The sequence below is a fragment of the Homo sapiens genome, chromosome 15 (genome assembly GCF_000001405.40).
Source record: "Homo sapiens chromosome 15, GRCh38.p14 Primary Assembly".
Lineage (NCBI taxonomy): Eukaryota > Metazoa > Chordata > Mammalia > Primates > Hominidae > Homo > Homo sapiens.
Window position 1 is genome coordinate 83780395 of NC_000015.10, and position 23078 is coordinate 83803472.

The following is a 23078-nucleotide window of genomic DNA, read 5'->3' on the forward strand; positions in this document are numbered from 1 at the left end:
AGTGAAACTCCATTAAAAAAAAAAAAAAACAAACTTCTCAATAAAGTAGGTATTCAAGGAATATACATCAAAATAATAAGAGCCATCTATGACAAACCCACAGTCAACATCATACCAAGTGGGTGAAAGCTGGAAGCATTCCCCTTGAATACCAGCACAAGACAAAGATGCCCTCTCTCACTACTCCTATTCAACATAGTGCTGGAAATTTTGGATGAGGCAATCAGACAAGAGAAAGAAATAAAGATCATTTAAATAGGAAGAGAAGAAGTTAAACTATCCCTGTTGGCAGATGACATATCCTATATCTGGAAAACCCCATAGTCTCAGGCCAAAGGCTCCCTAAGCTGATAACTTCAGCAAAGTCTCAGGATACAAAATCAATGTGCAAAAATCATTAACATTCTTATACACCAACAGTCAAGCCAGGAGCCAAATCAGGAACACAATCCCATTGACAGTTGTCATACACACAAAATAAAATACCTAGGAATACAGCTAACCAGGGAGGTAGAATATTTCTACAAGGATAACTACAAAACACCACTTGAAGAAATCAGAGATGACACAAGCAAATGGAACAACATCCTATGCTCATGGATAGAAAGAATCAATATTGTTAAAATGGCCATACTGCCCAAAGCAATTTATAGATTCAATGCTATTTCTATTCAAGTAACATTGAAATTATTTACAGAACTAGAAAAAAAAAACTATTTTAACATCCATATGGAACCAAAAAACAGCCTGAATAGCCAAGGCAGTCCTAAACAAAAAGAACAAAGCTGGAGGCATCATGCCGCCTGACTTACAGCTATACTTCAGGGCTACAGTAATCAAAACATCATGATACTGGTGCAAAGATGGACACATAGACTAATGGAACAAAATAGAAAACCTAGAAATAAGGCCACACACCTACAACTTCTGATCTTGACAAACCTGACAAAAAAACAAGCAATGGAGAAAGGATTTCCTATTCAATAATTGGTGCTGGGATAAATGGGTAGTCATATGCAGAAGATTGAAACTGGATCAATTCTATACATCATATACAAAAATTAACTCAAGATGGATTAAATACTTAAATGTAAAACCCAATACTATACAAACCCTGGAAGACGATACCATTATGGACATTGGAATGGGCAAAGATTACATGAGGAAGACACCAAAAGCAGTTGCAATAAAAGCAAAAATTGAAAAATGACATCTAATTAAACTAGTAAGTTTCTGCATAGCAAAGGAAACTATCAATAGAGTGAACAGACAGCCTATAGAATGGGAGAAAAATTTTGCAAACTATGTATCTGACAAAGGAACTTAAATTTACAAGAAAAAAACAAACAACTCCATTAAAAAGTGGGCAAAGGACATGAACAGACATTTTTCAAGAGAAGACGTGGCCAAAAGTCATACGAGAAAAAAGCTCATAATTGATCATTAGAGAAATAAAAATCAAAACCACAATGCGATAACATGTCACACCATTCAGACTGGCTGTTACTAAAAAGTCAATAAGTAACAGATGCTGGTGAGATTGTGGAGAAAAGGGAACATTTATACGCTGTTGGTGGGAGTGTAAATTAGTTCAACCTTTGTGGAAGACAGTGTAGTGACTGCTCAGAGACCTAAAAACAGAAATAACCGTTAGACCCAAAAATCCCATTACTGGGTATATATGCAAAGTAATATAAATCATTTAATTATAAAGACACTTGCATGTATGTGTTCACTGCAGCACTATTCACAATAGCAAAGACATGGAATCAACCTAAATTCCCATCACTTAAAGACTGGGGTCAGGTGTGCTGGCTCATGCCTGTAATCCCAGCACTTTGGGAGGCTGAGGTGGGTGGATCACTTGAGGTCAGGAGTTCCAGACCAGCCCGGCAAACATGGTGAAACCACATCTCTACTAAAAATACAAAAATTAGCCGGGCATGGTGACGGGTGCCTGTAATTCCAGCTACTCAGGAGGCTCAAGCAGGAGAATCTCTTGAACATGGGAGGTGGATGTTGCAGTGAGTAGAGATCATGTCACTGTATTCCAGCCTTGGTGACAGAGTGAGACTCCTCCTCCTCAAAAAACAAATTGTAAACTGGATAAAGAAAATGTGGTACATATGCCCTGGAATACTATGCAGCCATAAAAAAATGAGATCATGTCTTGTGCAGGAACATGGATGAAGCTGGAGGCCATTATCTTTAGCAAACCAATGCAGGAACAGAAAACCAAATACCACATGTCATCACTTAAAAGTGGAAGCTAAACTATGAGAACACATGGACACATACAGGGGAACAACATTCACTGGGACATATTGGAGGGTGGAAGGTGAGAGGAGGTAGAGGATCAGGAAAAATAACTAATGAGTACTAGACTTAATACTTGGGTGACAAAATAATCTGTCCAACAAACCCCCATGGGAAAAGTTTACCTATATAACAAGCCTGCACATGTACCTCTGAACTTAAAATAAAGGTTAAATTATAAAAGAAAGAGCAATGGATAGCGTATATATATATATATATTATATGTATATATACACACATATATATTATATATACATATATTATATATATACATATTATATATACACATATATATTATATATACATATATACGTATATATTATATATATATACTGTTTAGCGCAATATGTTTTCTGGAGTTTAAATGTATGTAGAACTTTAAAAACATAGAAACAATAATATAAAATTCAGAAGAGAGTAAAATTAATTTAAAGTGTTCAAATGTCCTTGAATTGTTCAGAAAAATGTAAAATAGACAATTTACCTTCAACTTTTAAAAGTCTGGGATGCACGTTCAATTTCTAAGGTTACCATTAAAAGCAAAATAAAACAATGTATAACTATTCAGATATCACAAGGGCAAATAGAATCATGCTAAAATACTTGATTGATCCAAAAGGGTTCAAGAAAGGAGAGAAAAAAGAACATAGTGCAATTGTGACAAATTCTAAAACAGTAGATTTGAACCCCAGAATATATATATTTTACATTAGATGTAAATGGACTAATTACTTTGGTTAAAAGACAAAAGATTGTTAGGCTATAAAACAAAATTTATGTGGTTTACTAGAGTCAAACCTTAAATACAAGGATACCGAAAGACTGAAAATAAAAGCATGGAAAAAAGCTATAATGTGAACCAAAATGAAAAGAAAATTGGTATACCTATACTAATATCAGACAAAGTAGAATTTAAAGGAAGAAGCATTAGCAGAAATAGAGGAATCATGAAAATATATTAAAACATGGGGATACATCTAAATTCACCCATATACGGAAGTTTAATAGCCCTGAATACACATATTAGAAAAGAAAAATTGGTTGAAAAAAAAAAGTGGTGCAAGCTGCCATTTAAGAAGTTAAAAAAAAAGGAAGAGCAAATTTTAAAAGTATCTGCATATATACTCTGTGTGTGTGTGTGTGTGTGTGTGTGTGTCTCCACATTCCTTTACTTCAAATATCAGGGATCTGGATTAGAGTCAAAGTTTGATCAAGTCCCTTGCAAATTCAGTTATGGCTGCCTGTGGGAAAAATACCCTTCTTCTGCCTAAAGAGTTGCTGCTTTAGACCTATTGCAGCTTTATGTTATTATGGGGACTGAATAGGAAGCTGCAGTTGAAGGCATTCACAAGAAAAAACATTGCCTTTGTGTCAGTGAATCTCGTTTTTTATTATTTTGTGGCTTTCCTTCATTTGGAGATAGTTTCTGGAGTGTCTGCATTTTATTTCATCTCTCCAGAATACCCTGTCCCACGTAGGCACTGAGTGTTTTACAGGGACCCTCATTGAGTGAGACCTTATGTGCCCTTACACTTTTGTCTTAGACTAACTGCCCCTATGCCACTGATTGGCAGGAATTGGCTATATCATCTGCCACTCTAATGTAGTGGGAATTTGTGGATTCTCCTGTGGATCTCTTCTTTACTTCAAAGGCAGACTTCTCCTTTATGTACAGTGAATAGTTTATGTACTCTCTTTTAATTCAGTCTTGCTTACCCTATGTATAGCAATAATCACCTAAAGTTTCTGCCTTGTGTATAACTTCTGTGAATTTCCAGGTACGATACAGAGTTATTCACTTATTAACATACTATCATTTCAATGGGAATTTGTAAGGGGGAAGTTCAATATATACGCTCAGATTACAATCTCTATTTAAAATCTTTCCTCCTCTCTCCATTTTCCTTAAATTTTTCCCTGAAATTTTACCTCTGCTAATTTGGAAATTATACACATATCTTGTTTTTATTTTACTGATATTAAATATATACTTAAAAACCACATTTTAATAATTATTTTATAACTATCTCTGTCATTAGTAATTTCTTTTGATTTCTCCTTATGTAAAATGATGATTACTTAGGCTTTTTTTTCTTTATTCCCATTTCTTGAGTTTATTATTAGAATTTGGGATTTTATCTTCAGTTTATTGGCAGTTTTTTTCTTTATATCTTTTCTTTCATGGTAGTCAAAGCATGGTTGAAACTTAATTGTGTGTGTGTATACATTATTTCAACACTCATTGTCTATCTTAATTGTGTGTGTGTGCACACAAGCAGCATTATTTCAATGCTGATTGTCAATTGCTGCTTTGAGTCCCCATTTCTTCCTTTGAGCATTCAGTTCTTCAGGTTGAATGATAGCTTTGTTGGCAGAGATACATTTTGAGCTGTGCTTCTGGAATTTTAGTGTGCATATGAATCACCTAGGCATCTTGTTAAAATACAAACTTTGATTCAGTAGATCTGGAATGAGGCCCAAGAGCTTTCATTTCTAACAGATTCCCAGGTGATGTCAGTGCTGCCTGTCCATGGACCACACTTCAAGCAGCAAAATTTTATAGACTTTTTAATTTCAGGAAAAAGTTGTAGGTCTTATACTTTATGAGTTCTTATATATCTGAAAATGACTTTTTCTTGCTTTCACACATAAACAGTGAATGGCTTATTTGAGTATAAAATTCCTAAGATACAACCTTTTCCTTTTAAGACTTGGTAGTTCCTTTCCCATAAAGCTTGGTGTACGGTGTTGCTTATAGACCTCCCAGGCCAGCTGGTTTTTTTGTAGATAACCTATTTTTTAGATAACCTGTCTGCCCATAGGAGTCTTTATTTTTTCCCTTAAGTTCAAGAGTTTTACAAGGCCATGTCTAGCTGTCAGTGTCATAATATTTATTTTACCCTGGCACATGGTGACCAACTTTTTGGTACAGATTTAGATCCTTCTCTATGGTAGGAAGATTTTTCTTCTATTATATTATTCACTGTTGGTTCTTACCCATTTGTTTTGGCTTTTTCTTCATGAATACCAGTAATTTCTGTCTGTCTTTCACATTTATCATGTTCTCTTTAATTACTTTCCTCTTTTTTTTTTCTTTTTCTGTGCACGTAGGGGTGATTTTCAAGCTGTCATATGAACTTTTTTTCTTTTTTTGAGACAGTCTCACTCTGTCACCCAGGCTTGAGTACAGTGGTGCGATCTCAGCTCACTGCAACCTCTGCCTCCTAGATTCAAGTGATTCTTCTGCCTCAGCCTCCCACGTAACTGCAGTTACAGACGTGTGCCACCACACCTGGCTGATTTTTGTTTTTAGTAGAGATGGGGTTTCACCATGTTGGCCAGGTTGGTCTCAAACTCCTGACCTCAAGTGATCTGCCCGCCTCAGCCTCCCAGAGTGCTGGGATTACAGGTGTGCACCACCACATCCACCTAATTTTTGTGTTTTTAGCAGAGATGGAGTTTCACCATGTTGACCAGGCTGGTCTCAAATTCCTGACCTCAAGTGATCCACAGTCCTCAGACTTCCAAAGTGTTGGGATTACAAGCGTTAGCCACCACGCCTGGTTTGAACTTTTTTTCTGATCTGTTAACTTCTAGTGGAGTTCTTTGTTTATTTTTATGGGTACATAGGTGTATATATTTATGTGAGATATTTTGATGCAGTAATACAATGCATAATAATCACAGCAAAGTAAATGGGGTATTCGTCCCTTTAAGGATTTATCATTTCTTTGTGTTATATACATTCTAATTATACTCTTTTAGGTATTTTAAAATGTACAATAAATGGTTGTTGACTGTAATCACCCTATTGTGCAATCAAATACTAGATCTTATTCATTCTATTGAACTATGTTTTTGTACCCAACCTAGTGACGTTTTAAATACTGCTATGGCATTATTTATTACCTAATATTCTTTCCTTCGCTTCAAACCTGCCGCTTTTATGTGTCTGTTGTTTTAACCACCTGCGTCTTATCCTGTATTTTTTTGTCTATTTTTAGTGTGATATCTGGCTAATTCTTACTTATTCTTCAAGGTCATGCTCTTTTAGGAAGCCTATCTTGACTGGTTAAACTTTGGTCTTCCTGTGTTGTGCTTCCATTATAGTACTAAATGGAATATAGTACTAAATGGAATATAGTACTTGCATCCATTATAGTACTAAAATTGTTGGCAAATTAGGACCTGTTTTTGAGAAGGGATAATGACTTCATCATTCCGAGATCTGACATAGTTTCTTACATGTGATGAGGACCCAAATAGCATTTATTGAAGGAGTAAATAAATGAGTGTGTGCTCACTATCGCCTTGCATCTTTTGCCAATGCTCTTCTTTCCGCCTAAATCATCCTTTTCTCCTTGTTCTGGTTGACACATGGTTGATCATAAAAATGCCTTTTGAGTCCTCATTTCTTCCTTTTGCATTCATTGGCAATTCTCACTCTTTACTAGGACAGGGGCGACTCTTCTAGTGTTTCCGTAGGATCTCATGAATACCGTTGTGAGAGTGTTTATTCCGCTGTATTGTTTTATTTTTCTGTTTCCACAATTGAGACAAAATTTTAGGTGGCATAGATGGTGTAATTCATCTCTTTATGCTGTGCCCACATGATTATTGATGTATGGTATAAATTTAATACATTTTATTCCATAAATTAATAGAGAAATGAAGTAATGTATTTCTGGGTTGATAAAAAAACTCCATGACTATAGTATGGGTCTGTGGGATAGGTAAGGATGGGTAATTCTATGAAGAATATTGAAAACTATGTTGGGGAGTATGGACTTTTAACAAATATTTAAAAACATCATTTTTTTCAACAATGTACATGTATATAGTTTAAAGAGCCAAATGACTCATGTAGGCTTGAGGTGAAAAACAACAGCCTCTTGATTCCCTTCCTCCCATTTCCTCACCCACCAGGGGCAACTACTGTTAACAATTCTATCTGATTCTCTTGGTGTTTTATCCACATTTCTAAATAACATGTTTATATTGCTGCTTCTTGATCTTTCAGTTGTAGGCACTACGCATTAGAGTCATACTATAGATGAAGATTTAACAATTTTTCACACCTCCTGCTCCTTTCTCTTCCTTTCTCTCTCCCCCTCCCCCTCCTCTTTCTCCTTTCTCAACCTCTCCCTCCAGTCTGTCTTCCAGTCCCATACCCCAGAGTTTTATATAACTTTGACTGGGCCAATATGCAGTTTTTAAATTATTATGAAGGCATATTATTATTAATGCCTTCATTAAACTATTATGAAGGTATATTATTATTATAAAGACATGTTATTAAATTATGCCTCTATACTATTCACAGCTATGTCATGTAATATACAGCAATTATTTTCCCTTTCCTGAGTTTTTTTTCCACTAGAGTCAATAATTACCTTGCTTTTTTATTTGCTTGTTTTCTTAGTTTTTACATGCTTATCACTAATTCAGAAAAATGTCATCATTCTAATTTTCACTTCACTAATTTCATTCACTTTTCTAATTTTCATTCACTTTAATTTTCTTTTAGACCCTTCTTCTGGAGAATTCTTAACCTTTAGCTGAGCTACTTGCTGTCTAACAAGAAATTCAGGAGGCATCTTGGAATCTCATTTTTCTGTCATCCTGGGAGGGTCATTTACTTCTTTCCTGTGTTAGATCTCCTGTTTCCTAATCACCTTCCTTTTTCCTCCTCATTTTTATGGATACATTCTCCAGAAGCTTCCTGCTTATCTGAAAAGATCTTTATTTTCTTCTCAAACTTGAATGATGATTTTTCCATATATATAGTTATGTAGAAATGATTTTCCCTCAGAAATTTGAAGGCTTTGCTCCATATTCTAACATCAAGTAATGTTACTGAGAAATCTAAAGGCATCTGGATTGCCTGCTCTTTTTTCCTCCTCTCTGGATGCATGTAGAAACATACATTTTCCCCCAGTGTTCTGAAATTTCCTAACGTTATGCCTTGGTGTGGGTCTATGTTCATTTGTTGTATTGGACACTCAGAGAGTCCTTCACTATAAAAACTCATTCTCTTCAGTCCTGAAATATTTCCTTGATGATTTCTTCTATTCATTTTCCTCTATTTTCTTTTCTTTTTTTCTTTTTGTTTTTTTGAGACAGAGTCTTGCTCTTGTCACCCACGCTGGAGTGCAGTGGCTTGATCTTGGCTCACTGCAGCCTCCGCCTCCTGGGTTGAAGCAACTCTCCTGCCTCAGCCAGCCAAGTAGCTGTGACTACAGGCACGTGCCACCATGCCTGGCTAATTTTTGTATTTTTTAGTAGAGATGGGGTTTCACCATGTTGGCCAGGTTGGTCTCAAACTCCTGACCTCAGGTGATCTGCCAGCCTCAGCCTCCCAAAGTGTTGGGATTACAGGCATGAGCCACCACACCCAGCCGTGTTCCTCTGTTTTCTTGTTGAAACTCCCATTATTCAGATATTAGATCTTCCAGTTTTCTCTTTGTTCATTTGCCCTGCCTTCCAGGAGATTTATCTAAATTTATTTTTTCACTCTCTTTACTAAGTATTTTATCTCTTTCTATACATATATTTTTTCCTGAGTTATTTTTTGTTCCTTGAATTTTTAGGAATAGAATTCTGTCCCTGATTCCCAGATGCAGTATCTTCTGTTTCATCTCTGAGAGTATGAATAGACATTTGGGAGGAAAATTTTTTTCACCTTGCATAGTCTCAGTTCCTCCCAAATTGCTGTTTTCTTTTAAATTTTTTTTTTGTCACTGTATTTAAGGTTAGAGGTCTTTCTGAGATTTCTGGTGATCCTTGTTTGTTTATTCAAGTTTAAGGAAAGGAGCTATGAGCTTAACTGGAGGGAGATGTGGCCAGTACATCTCATTGCCTGATGATGTCTTTAGGTGTTCTATTTTGAAATGCTTTGATTTCCCAGTGAAGGCCCTTCTGAGTCCAATATTTTAGGAACCAAGTGAGGCAGAAAGCTGGGATCTCAGCATTAAATACATTAATTTGTATTTAATCCCTGTTTTCAGTATAGTACTCTTGCCCTTAGTTGTACCCAGTTATCTCTTGGTCCAGAAAATTACTGTTTTACCCTCTTTAGATAATAACATACAGTCATGCCAAAGTAAGGGAGGTCAGCTGGAAATTTAATCTCTTTTTAAACAGACTTTCAATCAGTCATACTGTTTTGACCCCAACTTTATCCTGCTTTCAAAAGTATCTGATTTACCACTTCTGAAGTCTTTTGTGAGTTCTGCAGAGCTAATTGAGTTGCTTCTAGGAATTCCCCACTGCCATCTTAGGATTTACCTTTTTCTGGGGCTGAGAAATCAAAAGATATCCTTAATATGAAATAAGTAATTTAAATAACACCATAATTATTACAGAAAATTGAATTTATAGTATAAAAACTCTCTCTCCTCAATCTTAAGGCCTAGATGGTTTCACTGGCAAATTCTACCAAGCATTTAAAGGAGAATTTACAACAATTCCATATAATTTCTTCCAGAAAACAGAAGAGAAGGAATACTTTCCAATTCATTTTATGGATCTAGTATGACTTTGATACCAAACCATACAAAGACTATATAAAGAAGAAAACAACAAACCAATATATCTCATGAATATAGAAGTAAAAATTATTAATACAATCCTGTCAAAAGTATTAAGAAAGATATAAAAGGAATTATAGACCATAACCAAATGGGGTTTATTAGAGGAATGTAAGGCTGTTTCAGTATTTGAAAGTCAATCAATGTAATCTAGCTAATTAATAGACTAAGGAAGAAAAAATGTATAGGATCTTATCAATTGATACAGAAAAAATATTTGACAAAGTCACCAATTCATGAAGAACTCTCAGAAAAATAGAAACAGATATCAGCTTGATAAAAAATTTAAGAACCTTTAACTAATATTGTATATTATAATTGATGGTGAAAGACTGAACACTTTCCCCCTAAGGTATAGAATAAGGTAGGGTTGTCTGTCTCACCACTCTTACCATAGGAGAAGAAAAATACAACTGTCTTTATTTGCAGATGACATTTTTGTCTACGTAGAAAATCCCAAGAAATCTACAAGGTAACTTCTAAAACTAACAAGTGAGTCTGGCAAGGTCCTGGATACAAAATAAAAATACAGAAATCAATTGTATTTCTCTTACTAGTGATGAGCACATAGATAACAAAATTTAAAAATACAGTGCCATTAATAATCATTCAGAAAAGTTAAATGCTAAGGTGTAAATCTAACAGAACATGTATAGGACTTGTACGCCTAATACTGCAATGTGCTAATGAAAGAGGAACCCTAATAAAATACCTAGGAATACATTTAGCCAAGGAGGTGAAAGATCTCTACAATGAAAACTGTAAAACACCGATGAAAGAAATGGAAGAAGACACAAATAAATGGAACAATATTCCACATTCATAGATTGGAAAAAATAATATTAAAATGTTGATACTACCCAAAGTGATCTACAGATTCAGTGTAATCTCTGTCAAAATCTGTCACATTCTTCACAGAAATAGAAAAAAACAATCTTAAAATTTGTATGGAACCATAAAAGACCTCAAATAAATTAAGCAATCTTGATCAAAAAGAACAAATCCGGAGGCGTTATACTACCTGACTTCAAAATGTGCTACAAAGCTGTAGTAAGCAAAACACAATGGCAATGGCATAAAAACAGACAGGTTGTCCGATGGAACAGTATACAGAGCTCTGAAATAAGTCCACACATTTACAGCCAACTGATTTTTTACAAAGGTGTCAAGAACACAGGGAAAAGACAATTGTCTCTTCAATAAATGGTGTTGGGAAAACTAGATATCCACATGAAGAAGAATGAAATTATTTCATACCATATAGAAAAATCAACTAACGCCAGGCGCAGTGGCTCACGCCTGTAATCCCAACACTTTGGGAGGCCGAGGCGGGCAGATCACGAGGTCAGGAGATCGAGACCATCCTGGCTAACATGGTGAAACCCCATCTCTGCTAAAAGAATACAAAAAAATTGCCGGGCATGGTAGCGGGCGCCTGTAGTCCCAGCTACTCGGGAGGCTGAGGCAGGAGAATGGCGTGAACCCAGGAGGCTGAGCTTACTATGAGCTGAGATGCGCCACTGCACTCCAGCCTGGGCGACAGAGTGAGACTCTGTCTCAAAAAAAAAAAAGAAAAAGAAAAATCAACTAAAAATAGATTAAAAATTAAAATGTAAGAAATTTAGCATCCGGAAGAAACAGAAGAAAAGCTCTATGACATTTGTCTGGGAAATGATTATTTTACACATGACCCCAAAAGCCAGAAAAATATGGACAAATGGGATTACATCAAACCAAAATGCTTCTGTACAACAAAGGAAACAATCAACAGAGAGAAGAGATAACCTACAGAATGGGAGAAAGTATTTGCAAGCTATGCATCTGCCATGGGGTTAATATCCAAAATATATGACAAACTCAGTAGCAAGAAAAAAATAACCTGATTAAAAAATGGGCAAAGGACCCAAATAGACATTTCTTAAAAGATATACATAGGATGAACATGGAAGACAGTATTTAAGTGATGTAAGCCAAAAGATATATGAACAAATGCTCAACATCAGTAATTATCAGGGAAATGCAACCTAAACCACAATGAGGTATCATCTCACACCTGTTAGGATGGCTATTAAAAAAACAAAAGACAACAAGTATTGGCAAGGATGCAGAGAAAAGGGAACCCTTGCACCCTGTTGGCGAGAATGTAAATTGGTACAGCTACTATGAAAAACAGTATAAGCGTTCCTCAAGATATTAAAACTAGAGATATCAGTTGGGCTTATGCCTGTAATCCCAGCACTTTGGGAGGCTGAGGCGGGTGGAGCAACTGAGGTCAGGAGTTAGAGACCAGCCTGGCCAACATGGCAAAACCCTGTCTCTACTAAAGATACAAAATTAGCCAGGCATGGTGGCACATGCCTGTAATCCCAGCTACTCAGGAGGCTGAGGCAGGAGAATCGCTTGAACCTGGGAGACAGAGGTTGCAGTGAGTCGAGATTGTGCCACTGCACACCATGCACACCAGCCTGGGCAACAGAGTGAGACTCTGTCTCAAAAAAAAAAAAAAAATCATATGATCCAGCAGTCTCACTATTGGATATATATCCAAAGGAAATGAAATCAAGATATCAAAGAGATATCTGCACTTCCATGTTTGTTGCAGTGTTTTCAAAATAGCCAAGGTGTGGAAACAACTAAGTGTCTATCAGTGAATGAATGGTTAAAGAAAATGGTATATATACACAATATAATACTATTCAGCCATGAAAAATGAAGGAAATCCTATTATTTGTGACAATGTGGATGAACATGGAAGACAGTATTTAAGTGACGTAAGTCAGGCACAGGAAGGCAAATACCACATAATCTCACTCATATGTAGACGCTAAAAAAGTTGATCTCGTAGAAAAAGAGAGTAAAAAGGCAGTTGCTAGGGGTTAAGATGGTTGAGGAGGGGAGTTGAGGACATGTTGGTGGAAGGATACAAAATTTCAGTTAGGTAAGAGGAATAAGTTTAACAGAACTATTGTGCAACAGTGTCATTGTAGTTAATATATTGTATTATTGAAAATTGCTGAGACCGGATGTTAAGTATTATCACCACAAAAATAACTGTGAGATAATGGATATGTTAGTTTGATTTAGTCATTCCACAGTGTATAGATACTTGAAAACATCACATATTGTACACGATAAATACATACAATTTTATCTGTTGGTGTGTTGTTGTTGTTGTTGTTGTTGTTGTTGTTGTTTGAGATGAAGTCTCGCTTTGTTGCCCAGGCTGGAGTGCAGTGGTGCGATCTCTGCTCACTGCAGCCTCCGCCTCCCAGGTTCAAGCGATTCTCCTTCCTCTACCTCCCGAGTAGCTGGGATTACAGGCATGCGCCACTATGCCTGGCTAATTTTTGTACTTTTGGTAGAGATGGGGTTTCACCATGTTGGAGAGGCTAGTCTTGAATTCCTGACCTCAAGTGATCTGCCTGCCTCAGCCTCCCAAAGTGCTGGGATTATGGGTATGTATCTGTTGATTTTTAAAAGATATTTTAAAAGAATAGAGTGGGAGGAATCAGCTTACTTAATATCAAGATTTACTATATGGCTGCAGTAATGAGAGCAGTGGTATTGGCAGAGGAATAAACAAATGAGATCAACGGGAGAAAATATTTGAAAATCACCTAACAAAGGACTAGTATCTCTATTAAGAACTCTCAAATATCAACAATTAAAAATCAAACATTCTAATTAGAAAATGAACAAAGGACACGAATGGATATTTTACCCAAGAGAATACATAGATGGCAAATAAGCACACAAAAGTATGTTCAACACTACTGGCTATTAAGGAAATGCAAATTAAAACTGCAATAAGATATCATTACCTACCTATCAGAATAGCTTTCAAAAGGTTCACAACAAGAAATACTGGCAAGGATGCAGAGGAAGAGTGTTACTCATACATTGGTTCTGAGAATGTAAAATGATACAGCCATTCTGGAAAATAGGCAGTTTCTTTTAAAAAAATAAACATGCAACTACCATACAACTCAGCAATTGCACTCCTGGGCATTTTTCTCAGATAAATGAAGACTTAGGTTCACAATAAAACCTGTACATGAATGTTTATGCCAGTTTTACTCACAGTGGCCAAAAGGTGGAAACAATCCCAATGCCCTTTAGTGGGTGAATCATTAAACAAATGGTGTTACATCCATACCAGGGAGTGCTACACAGCCGTAAATGGAAATGAACCATTGATAAACACAACAATCTGGATGAATCTCCAGAAAATTACAATGAAGTTATAAAAATCCAATCTCTAAAGCTTACATACTGTATTTCACTTATGTAATATTCTTGAAATGACAGAAATTATAGAAATGGAGAACAGTAGTTGCTAGGTGTTAAGGAAGAGGATAGGGTGGGGGGGAGGAGATGCAGCTATAAAAGGCAACTTGCAGGATTCTTGTGATGATAGAAATGTTCTGTACATTACCTGTATTAATATCAGTCTCCTAGTTGTATTCTTGTAGCAGAGTTTTGCAAGATGATACCTTTGAGGGATCCATGGGGTCTCTTTTTATTATTTTCCTACAAATGCATGTGATTTACAATTATTATTATTATTATTTGAGATGGAGTCTCACTCCGTTGTCCAGGCTTGAGTACAGCGGCACAATCTCGGCTCACTGCAACCTCTGCCTCCTGTATTCAAGCAATTCTCCCACCTCAGCCTCCCAAGTAGCTGGGATTACAGGTGCACGCCACCATGCCCGGCTAATTTTTTGTATTTTTAGTGGAGACAGCGTGTCACCATGCTGGCCAGGCTGGTCTCGAACTCCTGACCTCAAGTGATCCACCTGCCTTGTCCTCCCAAAGTGCTGGGATTACAGGTGTGAACCACCGTGCCCAGCCGATCTACATTTATTTTAAATAGAAGATTTAATTTAATTTTAAAAAACTAGAAATGCCAGGCAAAATAGGACACACATTTAAAACAACAACAACAACAACAACAGCAGCAGCAACAACAACAACAACAACAACAACAGAACTAAAGTTGAACCTACAAGAAATTAAGGGAAATCCATGGGGCCAAAAAGCAAAGAGTAAACTGAATGCCAGACTAGTAAGTGCATAACTGATTCTGTGCCTGCCCTAGTGATGGAGATGGGATTTGATCATCTCAAAAACTCAGGCTGTTGAGTTTTAATTCCTTCATAATCACAGATCAAGTCTTGAGTGTATGCGAGTTCACACCATGGGAACTGCAACCCTAAGATAAAGGCAAGACCCTTGAGGTCCAGACACTTAACAGAAGGACTAGGGGGAAAATGTCCACACACCAGCATAGGGAATTTAAGTATCTTAGTCTTAATTCCATATGAAAAAAAAATTCCACGTTGGAACAGTGGACCTGTTCTCTCAAAATTTGGAAGTGCATGTATATTGGCCTATACATATTATATATATTACATTGAATACATATATCCTATATGATTGTGGAAACATTTACGTGGGAAATTAATATGAAAATTGATCTTGTAGCCTGTGATATCCTTAAGGTATGGCAGCAATGAAAGATTTGAGAGTCAGGCCACCAACCGGCTGCATAGGATTCCTGTCGATAGAGCCCTGCTAATGACAAACTTGCAATCCTAAAATATGTAACACACAAGGAAATACTTGCGAGGAGTAAGCACCAGCAGGCACAACATTGATGATATAAGAGAGAAAAGCCATACAGTTATCTATATTGATGCAAAAGTAGCAGTTAATAAAATGAATACTTACTCTCAATTGAAAAATATTAGCAAACTAGGAATAAAGGTATACTCTCAATGTACAGTAGATAATCTTGATAGTAAAAATGTTACCACATTCACCTTAACATTAGGTGTGAGATAAGAATGCCCACTGTCATTGCTTGTATTCATTATTGTATTTGAGGTCCTAGTCAGTGTAGTAAGGCTAGAAAAAAAATGAAATAGAAGGATAACTCTCATTATTCAGAGACTACTAAATTGTGCAGATAGAAAAATCCAAGAGTACTTGTACATAAAATAATAAAACTAATAAAATAATTCAGTAAAGATTGCTGGAAGCAAATTAATGCACAAATGACTGTGCTCTTACACAGTACCAAAAACTAAATAGAAAGCAAAATTTCAAAAGGCAGTACTAGTAAAATATATGGTATGTTGTAATAAGTTCAATAAAAAATGTGTAAGACCTTTATGGAAGATTTAGATGCTTACCTAAATAAAAGGAGAGCTATAATATGTTCATATATAGGAAATCTCAACATCATAAACATACCAATTTTCCCCTATGTTAATCTATAAGCATAATTTCAATTCTAAGTATCATATAGGAGTGCAAAGAAATGAAAATAATTTTGAAAAAGAACAAAATAGGGGACTTGCCTGGACAATTAAAATGTTTCTTTTAACTATACTAGTGGCATAGGCGGGAGTAGCAAGTGTGGCAAAATTGAGAGCCCAGAAACAGATATATGCGTATGTGGAAGTTTGGTATATATTGAAAGTGGCCCTGTAAATCAGTGCAGGAAAGAGGGATAGTCAATACATGGTGCTCAGATATGATTATCGATAGTCAGAGGAAAACATTAGAACATATCAATTCATGTAAAGAATAAATTCCAAGTGCATTAATCTCTACTTGTAAAAAACAATGTCTGGAAACATTTAGAAAGAAATATAGAAGAATATCTTTGTGATTTCTAGAGAGTGAAATATTCGCTAACTAAGATACAAAAAGTTTGAGTTACAAAGGAAAATACGGATAAATTCAAGCACAATAAAAAATACACATCTGTATCACAAAAATATAAACCTAAAGAAAAGCCATAGAGTGGAATAAAATCTTGACAATGAATATAACCAATAAAGGACTAGTATTTGAAATATTAAGTAACTTTTACTTACCAATAAAATAGAAGCAAAAAGAGGCTAGTAGAAAAGTGGGCAAAGAATATGAACAGGAAATTCATAGAAGGTGAATCTGCATAGTAAAAAACAAATGAGAATTATAATTTCACTGACAAAAAACTGAAAAAGCATATGAAATGAGGCTGGGTGTGGTGGCTTACACCTGTAATCCCAGCACTTTGGGAGGCCACGATGCGCGGATCACTTGCGGTCAGGAGTTTGAGACCAGCAAGACGAAACCCCATTTCTAAAAATACAAAAATTAGCCTGGTGTGGTAGCACATGCCTGTAATCCCAGCTACTCGGAAGGCTGAGACACAAGAATCGCTTGAGCCCAGGAGGCGGAGGTTGCAGTGAGCCAAGATTGCACCACTGCACTCCAGCCTATGTGAGAGAGCAAAACTCTGTCTACCCCAAAAAGAAAAAAAGAATATGAAATGACATATTTCACATTCTTCATATTGGGAAAAAAAAGTTTTAAAATGTCAAATATTGACCTAGATGTATAAAAATAAGAACCTTCCTGCACTGGTAATGAGGGTGAAAACTGGTATGTCCATGTTAGAGAGCAATTTGTCAATATCTGGTAATAGTGATGCTGTAAACACCCAGAAGAGAACAACCCCGCTCAGGTATATATCCCAGAGAAATGCGTAAATATGCCTAACATGGTGGTTTAAGATTGCTCATTGCAGAACTGTGGGTGCAGTTTAAAATTTGAAACCAACTGCCAAATGAAGATTTGGAACAATTTTCATCAACATTTAGGAAAATTGATCAATGAAGAATAAAGAGAATTGATCAATAAATTTTGGTATATTTATAAATGGGATTCCTACAGATCTCTAAAAGTGAATGAATTAGAGTTACATCTGTTAACGTGGATATTCTCAAAAACAGTTTTCAGAGAAAAAAAAACTGCAGAAGGTTTTTGGCACAATATGATTCCATGTACTCAGTTACCTCTCCTATTTCTGATGTAGTATTTGCTTAACTTTTTCATTTCTTAGGACTAATATAGCATTCTTTAGTCTATTTCTACACAAACCTTAGCCTACATTCTGAAATTTGCTTGTAGGCCTGAGAATCTCCAAATTTGCCTGCTCCCTGAGCTCATCTAATTTAAACAGGTATCTGAGGGTAGAAAACATCCTAAATCAAATGTGTATATATGTATTTGTGCATATATGTGCATAAATTGAGAGAATAATAGTTTCTGTGGTGTTTCAGAAGTAAGACAAGTGCATGTCATTGCATGTGCTCTCCCAGCTTGGTTCCTGGCATGGGGTCAGGCCTGTGGCACACCCACTTTTTCCATGTCTAAGAAACAGGGACAGGCTGGGTGTGGTGGCTCACGCCTGTAATCCCAGCACTTTGGGAGGCCGAGGCGGGCGGATCACGAGGTCAGGAGTTCAAGACCAGCCTGACCAACATGGTGAAACCCCGTCTCTACTAAAAATACAAAAATTAGCCAGGCGTGGTCAGTGCATGCCTGTAATCCCAGCTACTCAGGAGGCTGAGGCAGGGGAATCGCTTGAAACTGGGAGGCAGAGGTTGCAGGGAGCTGAGATCGCGCCATTGCACTCCAGCCTGAGCGACAGAGTGGGACTCCGTCTCAAAAAAAAAAAAAAAAAACAAAAAAAAAGGACAATAACACCACTTTTTGGCTATAATGAAATTAGATTAATTCAAAAGCATGGTAGCAGGTTCTTTAATAAGATTATTTCGGAAGCATGGTAGCAGGTTCTTTAATAATTCACTCATTCCTGCTCCCCACATTTTAGGCAGCTGTAAACCTTAATCATTCCTCACCCATTCCCATATTAAGAACTTTCACTGTCATTTTGGAAGTACTCTGAGATTTTTAAGAAGGAAACCTACTTCCCTTGGAATGCTTATCAGGTCTCTTTATCCTTGAACTGCCTTAGAGACTTATTAAGTCTTCATAAATATTGAATGCTTGTGGTCAGTTTTTCTTGGAAGAGGAATATGGAGGTGATTACATATAAAACCAAACTGAAAGCCATCCCAAAGCTTTAGAAAGCATTTCAGTGCCTTCCCTTTTTATCAGTGTACTCCTTCAAATTCATGATTTAGGGCATTCATGATTTAGGAAAATAGCAAATGTAGCTATTTTCCTCATATATTTCTTGTGGATAAAGTTATTTCAGAATTTGATTACTTTAAATAGTCAGTTCTTTTGCACTGCAAACCATATGCCAGCCAGAATGTCCCTTTCTCTTGCAGAAGTGTGTAACTTGATATTCTAGTTAAGTGCCAATCATGGGAAACACAGGTTTAAGTTAACTACTATTTTAAAAATTAATATATTTTTATTCTTCAAAACACATACTTCTCAGGCTTTATGACACCATTATTTGAGTCAATATATCATCAAATGAATATAATAAATTATAGTGCTATGAACTCCAGGGAAATTTTATTAATGTTTTTAATATATCCTCATGTGGAATCAACATATGTTTTTTATATATTCATAAATTTATGACTTCAAAACTCTTCAATACAGGGTGTTACGAATGTTGTAATGGATAGAAAATACATAATTGTGAAATGATGTTCTTGAATTTTCAAATACTCCTGATAACCATTAGCTCTTGCATATACTAATTACACTGAAATTAAAAACTTGTAAGTAATATTTCTGCAGCTTAGTTGCTTTGGCCCAAAGGAATTATTCCAGAATAAGCTGGCAGGTTCCTGCTTGGGGAATTAGGATTCCAATGTCCTTAACTTTAAAATAACTTGCATTTCATTTTATGTCTGTTTCATAAAGTAGTCTTTCATTTTCATACTAAATTGTAACCAAAGCAAGCCACATCAATAGAGGCCAGTCACTGGATTTACTGTGTATTAGGTTGGACAAAGTAAAATAGAATGTTAAAAATGGTCGCCAGGTGGTTGGGTTTAAAAATAAAAACGTTGCTACTGACTTATAAAGGAAACTGAGAAGTAATCTCCCTGAATCTTTATATCCATATCCTGGTACATAGTAGGTTCACCATAAGACATTGTTGAAGGAAGAATGAGTCCAAAATGGTGCATTATGTTTTGAAAATTCGTGACATAAAATGCTCTCTTTTTCATATCACCATGCTGCAATTGTAGTGGGATTTGTAGGAGAGTTGTACATACTTTTTAGGTTTATATTTTCAGGCTCAACACTCAAGATGCAAATCAGTGACTCCTGGAAACTCAGCTTACAATTAGGACACAGCAGGTGGCAATGGAGTGTAGACCATTGCTCTACACATGGTCTACACTGAAGGCCTGAGACACAGCCATAAGATACCTTTGATATATTCTTTTCTTACCTTTTAGTTTTAAGTTTCTTTTTACAAGAACAGTTTTTAATATAAATAGCTAAAATTAAGCAACTACTAAAAATGCATCTGAAAAATTATTTCTGAAAATGTTTAAAGAAAATGCCATTTTTATTAAGTTTCAACAAGTTTTGTATTCCAGTATTGCCATCAATTCAAATATTTTTTTTAACCTGTGACTCTCTAATTTGCTTGTTCCCTTGAAATTAGCATCAAAAGCTTTTTACAGCTGCAAGTCAGCATGGTACAAAAAGCTTTTTGGTTATCACTTCCCTAATCTGTTAGCAACTTCCCTCAACTGGGGCTTTTCCAAAATAAGAGAGTAATTTCAATTACTTCTTCACTTTTCCTATTATTTATTTTCTTCTTTTGTTCATACGTAAAAAGCAAAATGAAGTAGGCCATGTAAGTGAATGACCTTTTCAATAGGCATAGCTGTTGTTTCCCAGTAGAATGGAGTCATTTCCCCTTGACCAAGAGAAAGACTTCTCCACACCAGTACATTTTTTTCTACCATCCTCCCAGTTTGGTGCTGCTTGAATGTTTAAAATTTGACGTACTCTTAGCAAGATTTTAATAAATTTAAGAATCAAATACCTATAACAAAATTTTAAAAACAGAAATATGCAGTGTTACAAAATATTAAGACATGGCCAACCCATTGTGATAATCTGGGAAGATGTTCTGAACCACAAATCAAGAAAGCGCATCTACCTAAATACGATTTAACTACAAATTAGGTAACGCTTTTGGAGGCAGCTATAATGCTGTTCTTTTCACTCCAAAATGTCCTTCTCCCAAAGCCTTCTAAATCTAATTAGGGATTGTACCACCTCAAAAACACAAGCTGTGAGGAGACAAGGGGTACAAGTTGCAGTTGGAACAGAAAGTTTAAGGTGAAGATGGCATGAAATGGAAATGGAGGAGGGAGAGTTTGAGAAAAACTGCAAAGGAAAAAGAGTGGAAGTTAATATTAAAAATGTACTGGACACAATAAAATGCAAAATAACCACTACAGAAAACTAAAATCTGTAGTGTGGAGGAATATCTGTAGAATATTTCTCATAAGCACAAGAAAAGGTCAATGAAATTTTATATATATAAATATATAAATATAAATATATATATATATATATATATATATATATATATATATATATATGTATGTATGAGGAAATCATAGATGGACCAATGAAGAACTAATAGATGCAGAGAGAGGGAGCTCCAGCCTCAGAATTATAGGCATTTATGGCACAAGAGCAGTAATCAAAATCATAATCTGAAAATAATCAGCAGCATTGTAAATAAAGACCTTGAGTATTCCATTCAAAAAGGCTCACCATTTTCAGTAAAGACTGATGAAACACACGACTGGATACATCCTGATTATAACTTAACTTTTATATCAAGTACTAACACAACAAAACAAAAGTACTATAAGCTTTCAGGAAGAAACATAAAACACACAAGCAAAGGAATAATCAGATTTCTCCTCTGCAAGTCTCAATATCAAGGGTCAATGAAGTGTGTTTACAGCTTTGAGGAAAAAGAAGTAACATCATATCATGCAGCATTGCCTTTCCTGTATGAAATGCAAAGATTTAATCATAAGCCAGCCATGCATCCAACTAATTAAATAATACTTAACCAGCCAAGAGTTAAAAACTCATACGTGAAAAATTCATATTATGAAAGGACTGGGATTTGTTTTAAAATACTTCTAAATATGTATTGTAAGTATGGACAAAAATGAAAACCTAAAGATGTTTACCGAATAATTTTTATATTATATAAAAATAATGGACTCAGAAATCCCACTTCTAGGTATTTACCCAAGAGAAATGAAAAACTTTGTTACCATAAAACCTGCATGTGAATGTTTATAGCATTTTTTCATACTTACCCAAAACTAAAAACAAATATCTAGCTGGTGAATGAATAAACAAACAGTTGTACATATGTGCAATAGAATGCCAGCCGGCAATTAAAAAGGTGCAAACTATAGATACCTGCAACCACAAGAATGATTTTCAAGTATATTATGCTAAAAAGAGTCAGTCTCAAAAAGCTACATATGCTGGGATTCCATTTATATAACATTTTGGAAATGGCAAATTGTAGGGACAAAACCAACCAGTGGTTGCCAGGAGCTGAGGGTGGGGGAAGAGGTTGACTATACAGGGGCAACCTGAGAGCATTTTTGGGGTGATGGAACTGTTCCAAATATTGGTTGTGGTAGTGGTTGCACAATTGTATGGGTTTGTCAAAACTCTTAAAATTGTATACATCCCAAATAGAATTTTAATATATGTCAGTTTTTAAGTAGGGAAAAGGAGAAGCAACATAATCAGGAAAGGTAATATCGGCATAGCAATGTGAACATACTTAAACACTGAACCACACACTAAAAAGTGGTTAGGATGGTAAATTTTATGTTATGTGTATTTTGTCACAATTTTTAAAATTTTAAATTTAAAGCTACCAAAATAATGCTTGTATAATGGACTATGATGTAATCATTAAAATAATTTTTCCAAAGAATTATCATTGAAATGAGAAAATGCTTATCATATTAGATTAGGATGAATTAACAGTATGATTTTCAATCCTATAAATGGCAGAAACAGTGGAGGATTAAATGACAAAAGAATAAAGTTATTGGTGATAGGATTTTGAGTGACTACCTCTATACTTCTTGGCACATTACTGGTTTCCACTTACTCCTTTTGTAATCAAGAAAAATGGAAGCATCAGAAAGCATATGCAATGAGTTTTACATTGCTGACTCTATCAGTCATTTCATATAGGCTCATATTTAAATCATACTGGCAAAAAAATGACCTCCTATCCACTTTAAAATTATTTTTATTCCCATAGAAATAAATATTTTAATAACAATTGAAATAGTATCTGTTGACTTTTAATTCAAAATGATTATT

The 23078-nt window shown here is 35.6% G+C and overlaps 1 protein-coding gene across 12 annotated transcripts in view, besides 3 other annotated features; it reads left to right on the top strand.

Moving 5' to 3' along the window:
- The window catches only part of ADAMTSL3 (ADAMTS like 3), a 385720-nt gene that overhangs the window by 126272 nt on the left and 236370 nt on the right, over positions 1-23078 (top strand). The gene's annotated exons all lie outside the window — the stretch shown is intronic.
- Positions 1716-1885: an enhancer, noted in NCBI's record as "experimental_41636 CRE fragment used in MPRA reporter constructs". NCBI's record gives its function as "activates a minimal promoter by MPRAs in K562 erythroleukemia cells, with activity observed for both the introgressed and non-introgressed 15:84450947 or rs12910446 variant alleles {active_cell/tissue: K562}" and the evidence as "EXISTENCE:reporter gene assay evidence [ECO:0000049][PMID:34662402]".
- Position 1801: a transcriptional cis regulatory region, noted in NCBI's record as "Neanderthal adaptively introgressed variant 15:84450947 (GRCh37/hg19 assembly coordinates) or rs12910446 in the experimental_41636 CRE". NCBI's record gives its function as "modulates activity of the experimental_41636 enhancer by MPRAs in K562 erythroleukemia cells {active_cell/tissue: K562}" and the evidence as "EXISTENCE:reporter gene assay evidence [ECO:0000049][PMID:34662402]".
- Positions 5414-5583: an enhancer, noted in NCBI's record as "experimental_41638 CRE fragment used in MPRA reporter constructs". NCBI's record gives its function as "activates a minimal promoter by MPRAs in K562 erythroleukemia cells, with activity observed for the non-introgressed 15:84454645 variant allele {active_cell/tissue: K562}" and the evidence as "EXISTENCE:reporter gene assay evidence [ECO:0000049][PMID:34662402]".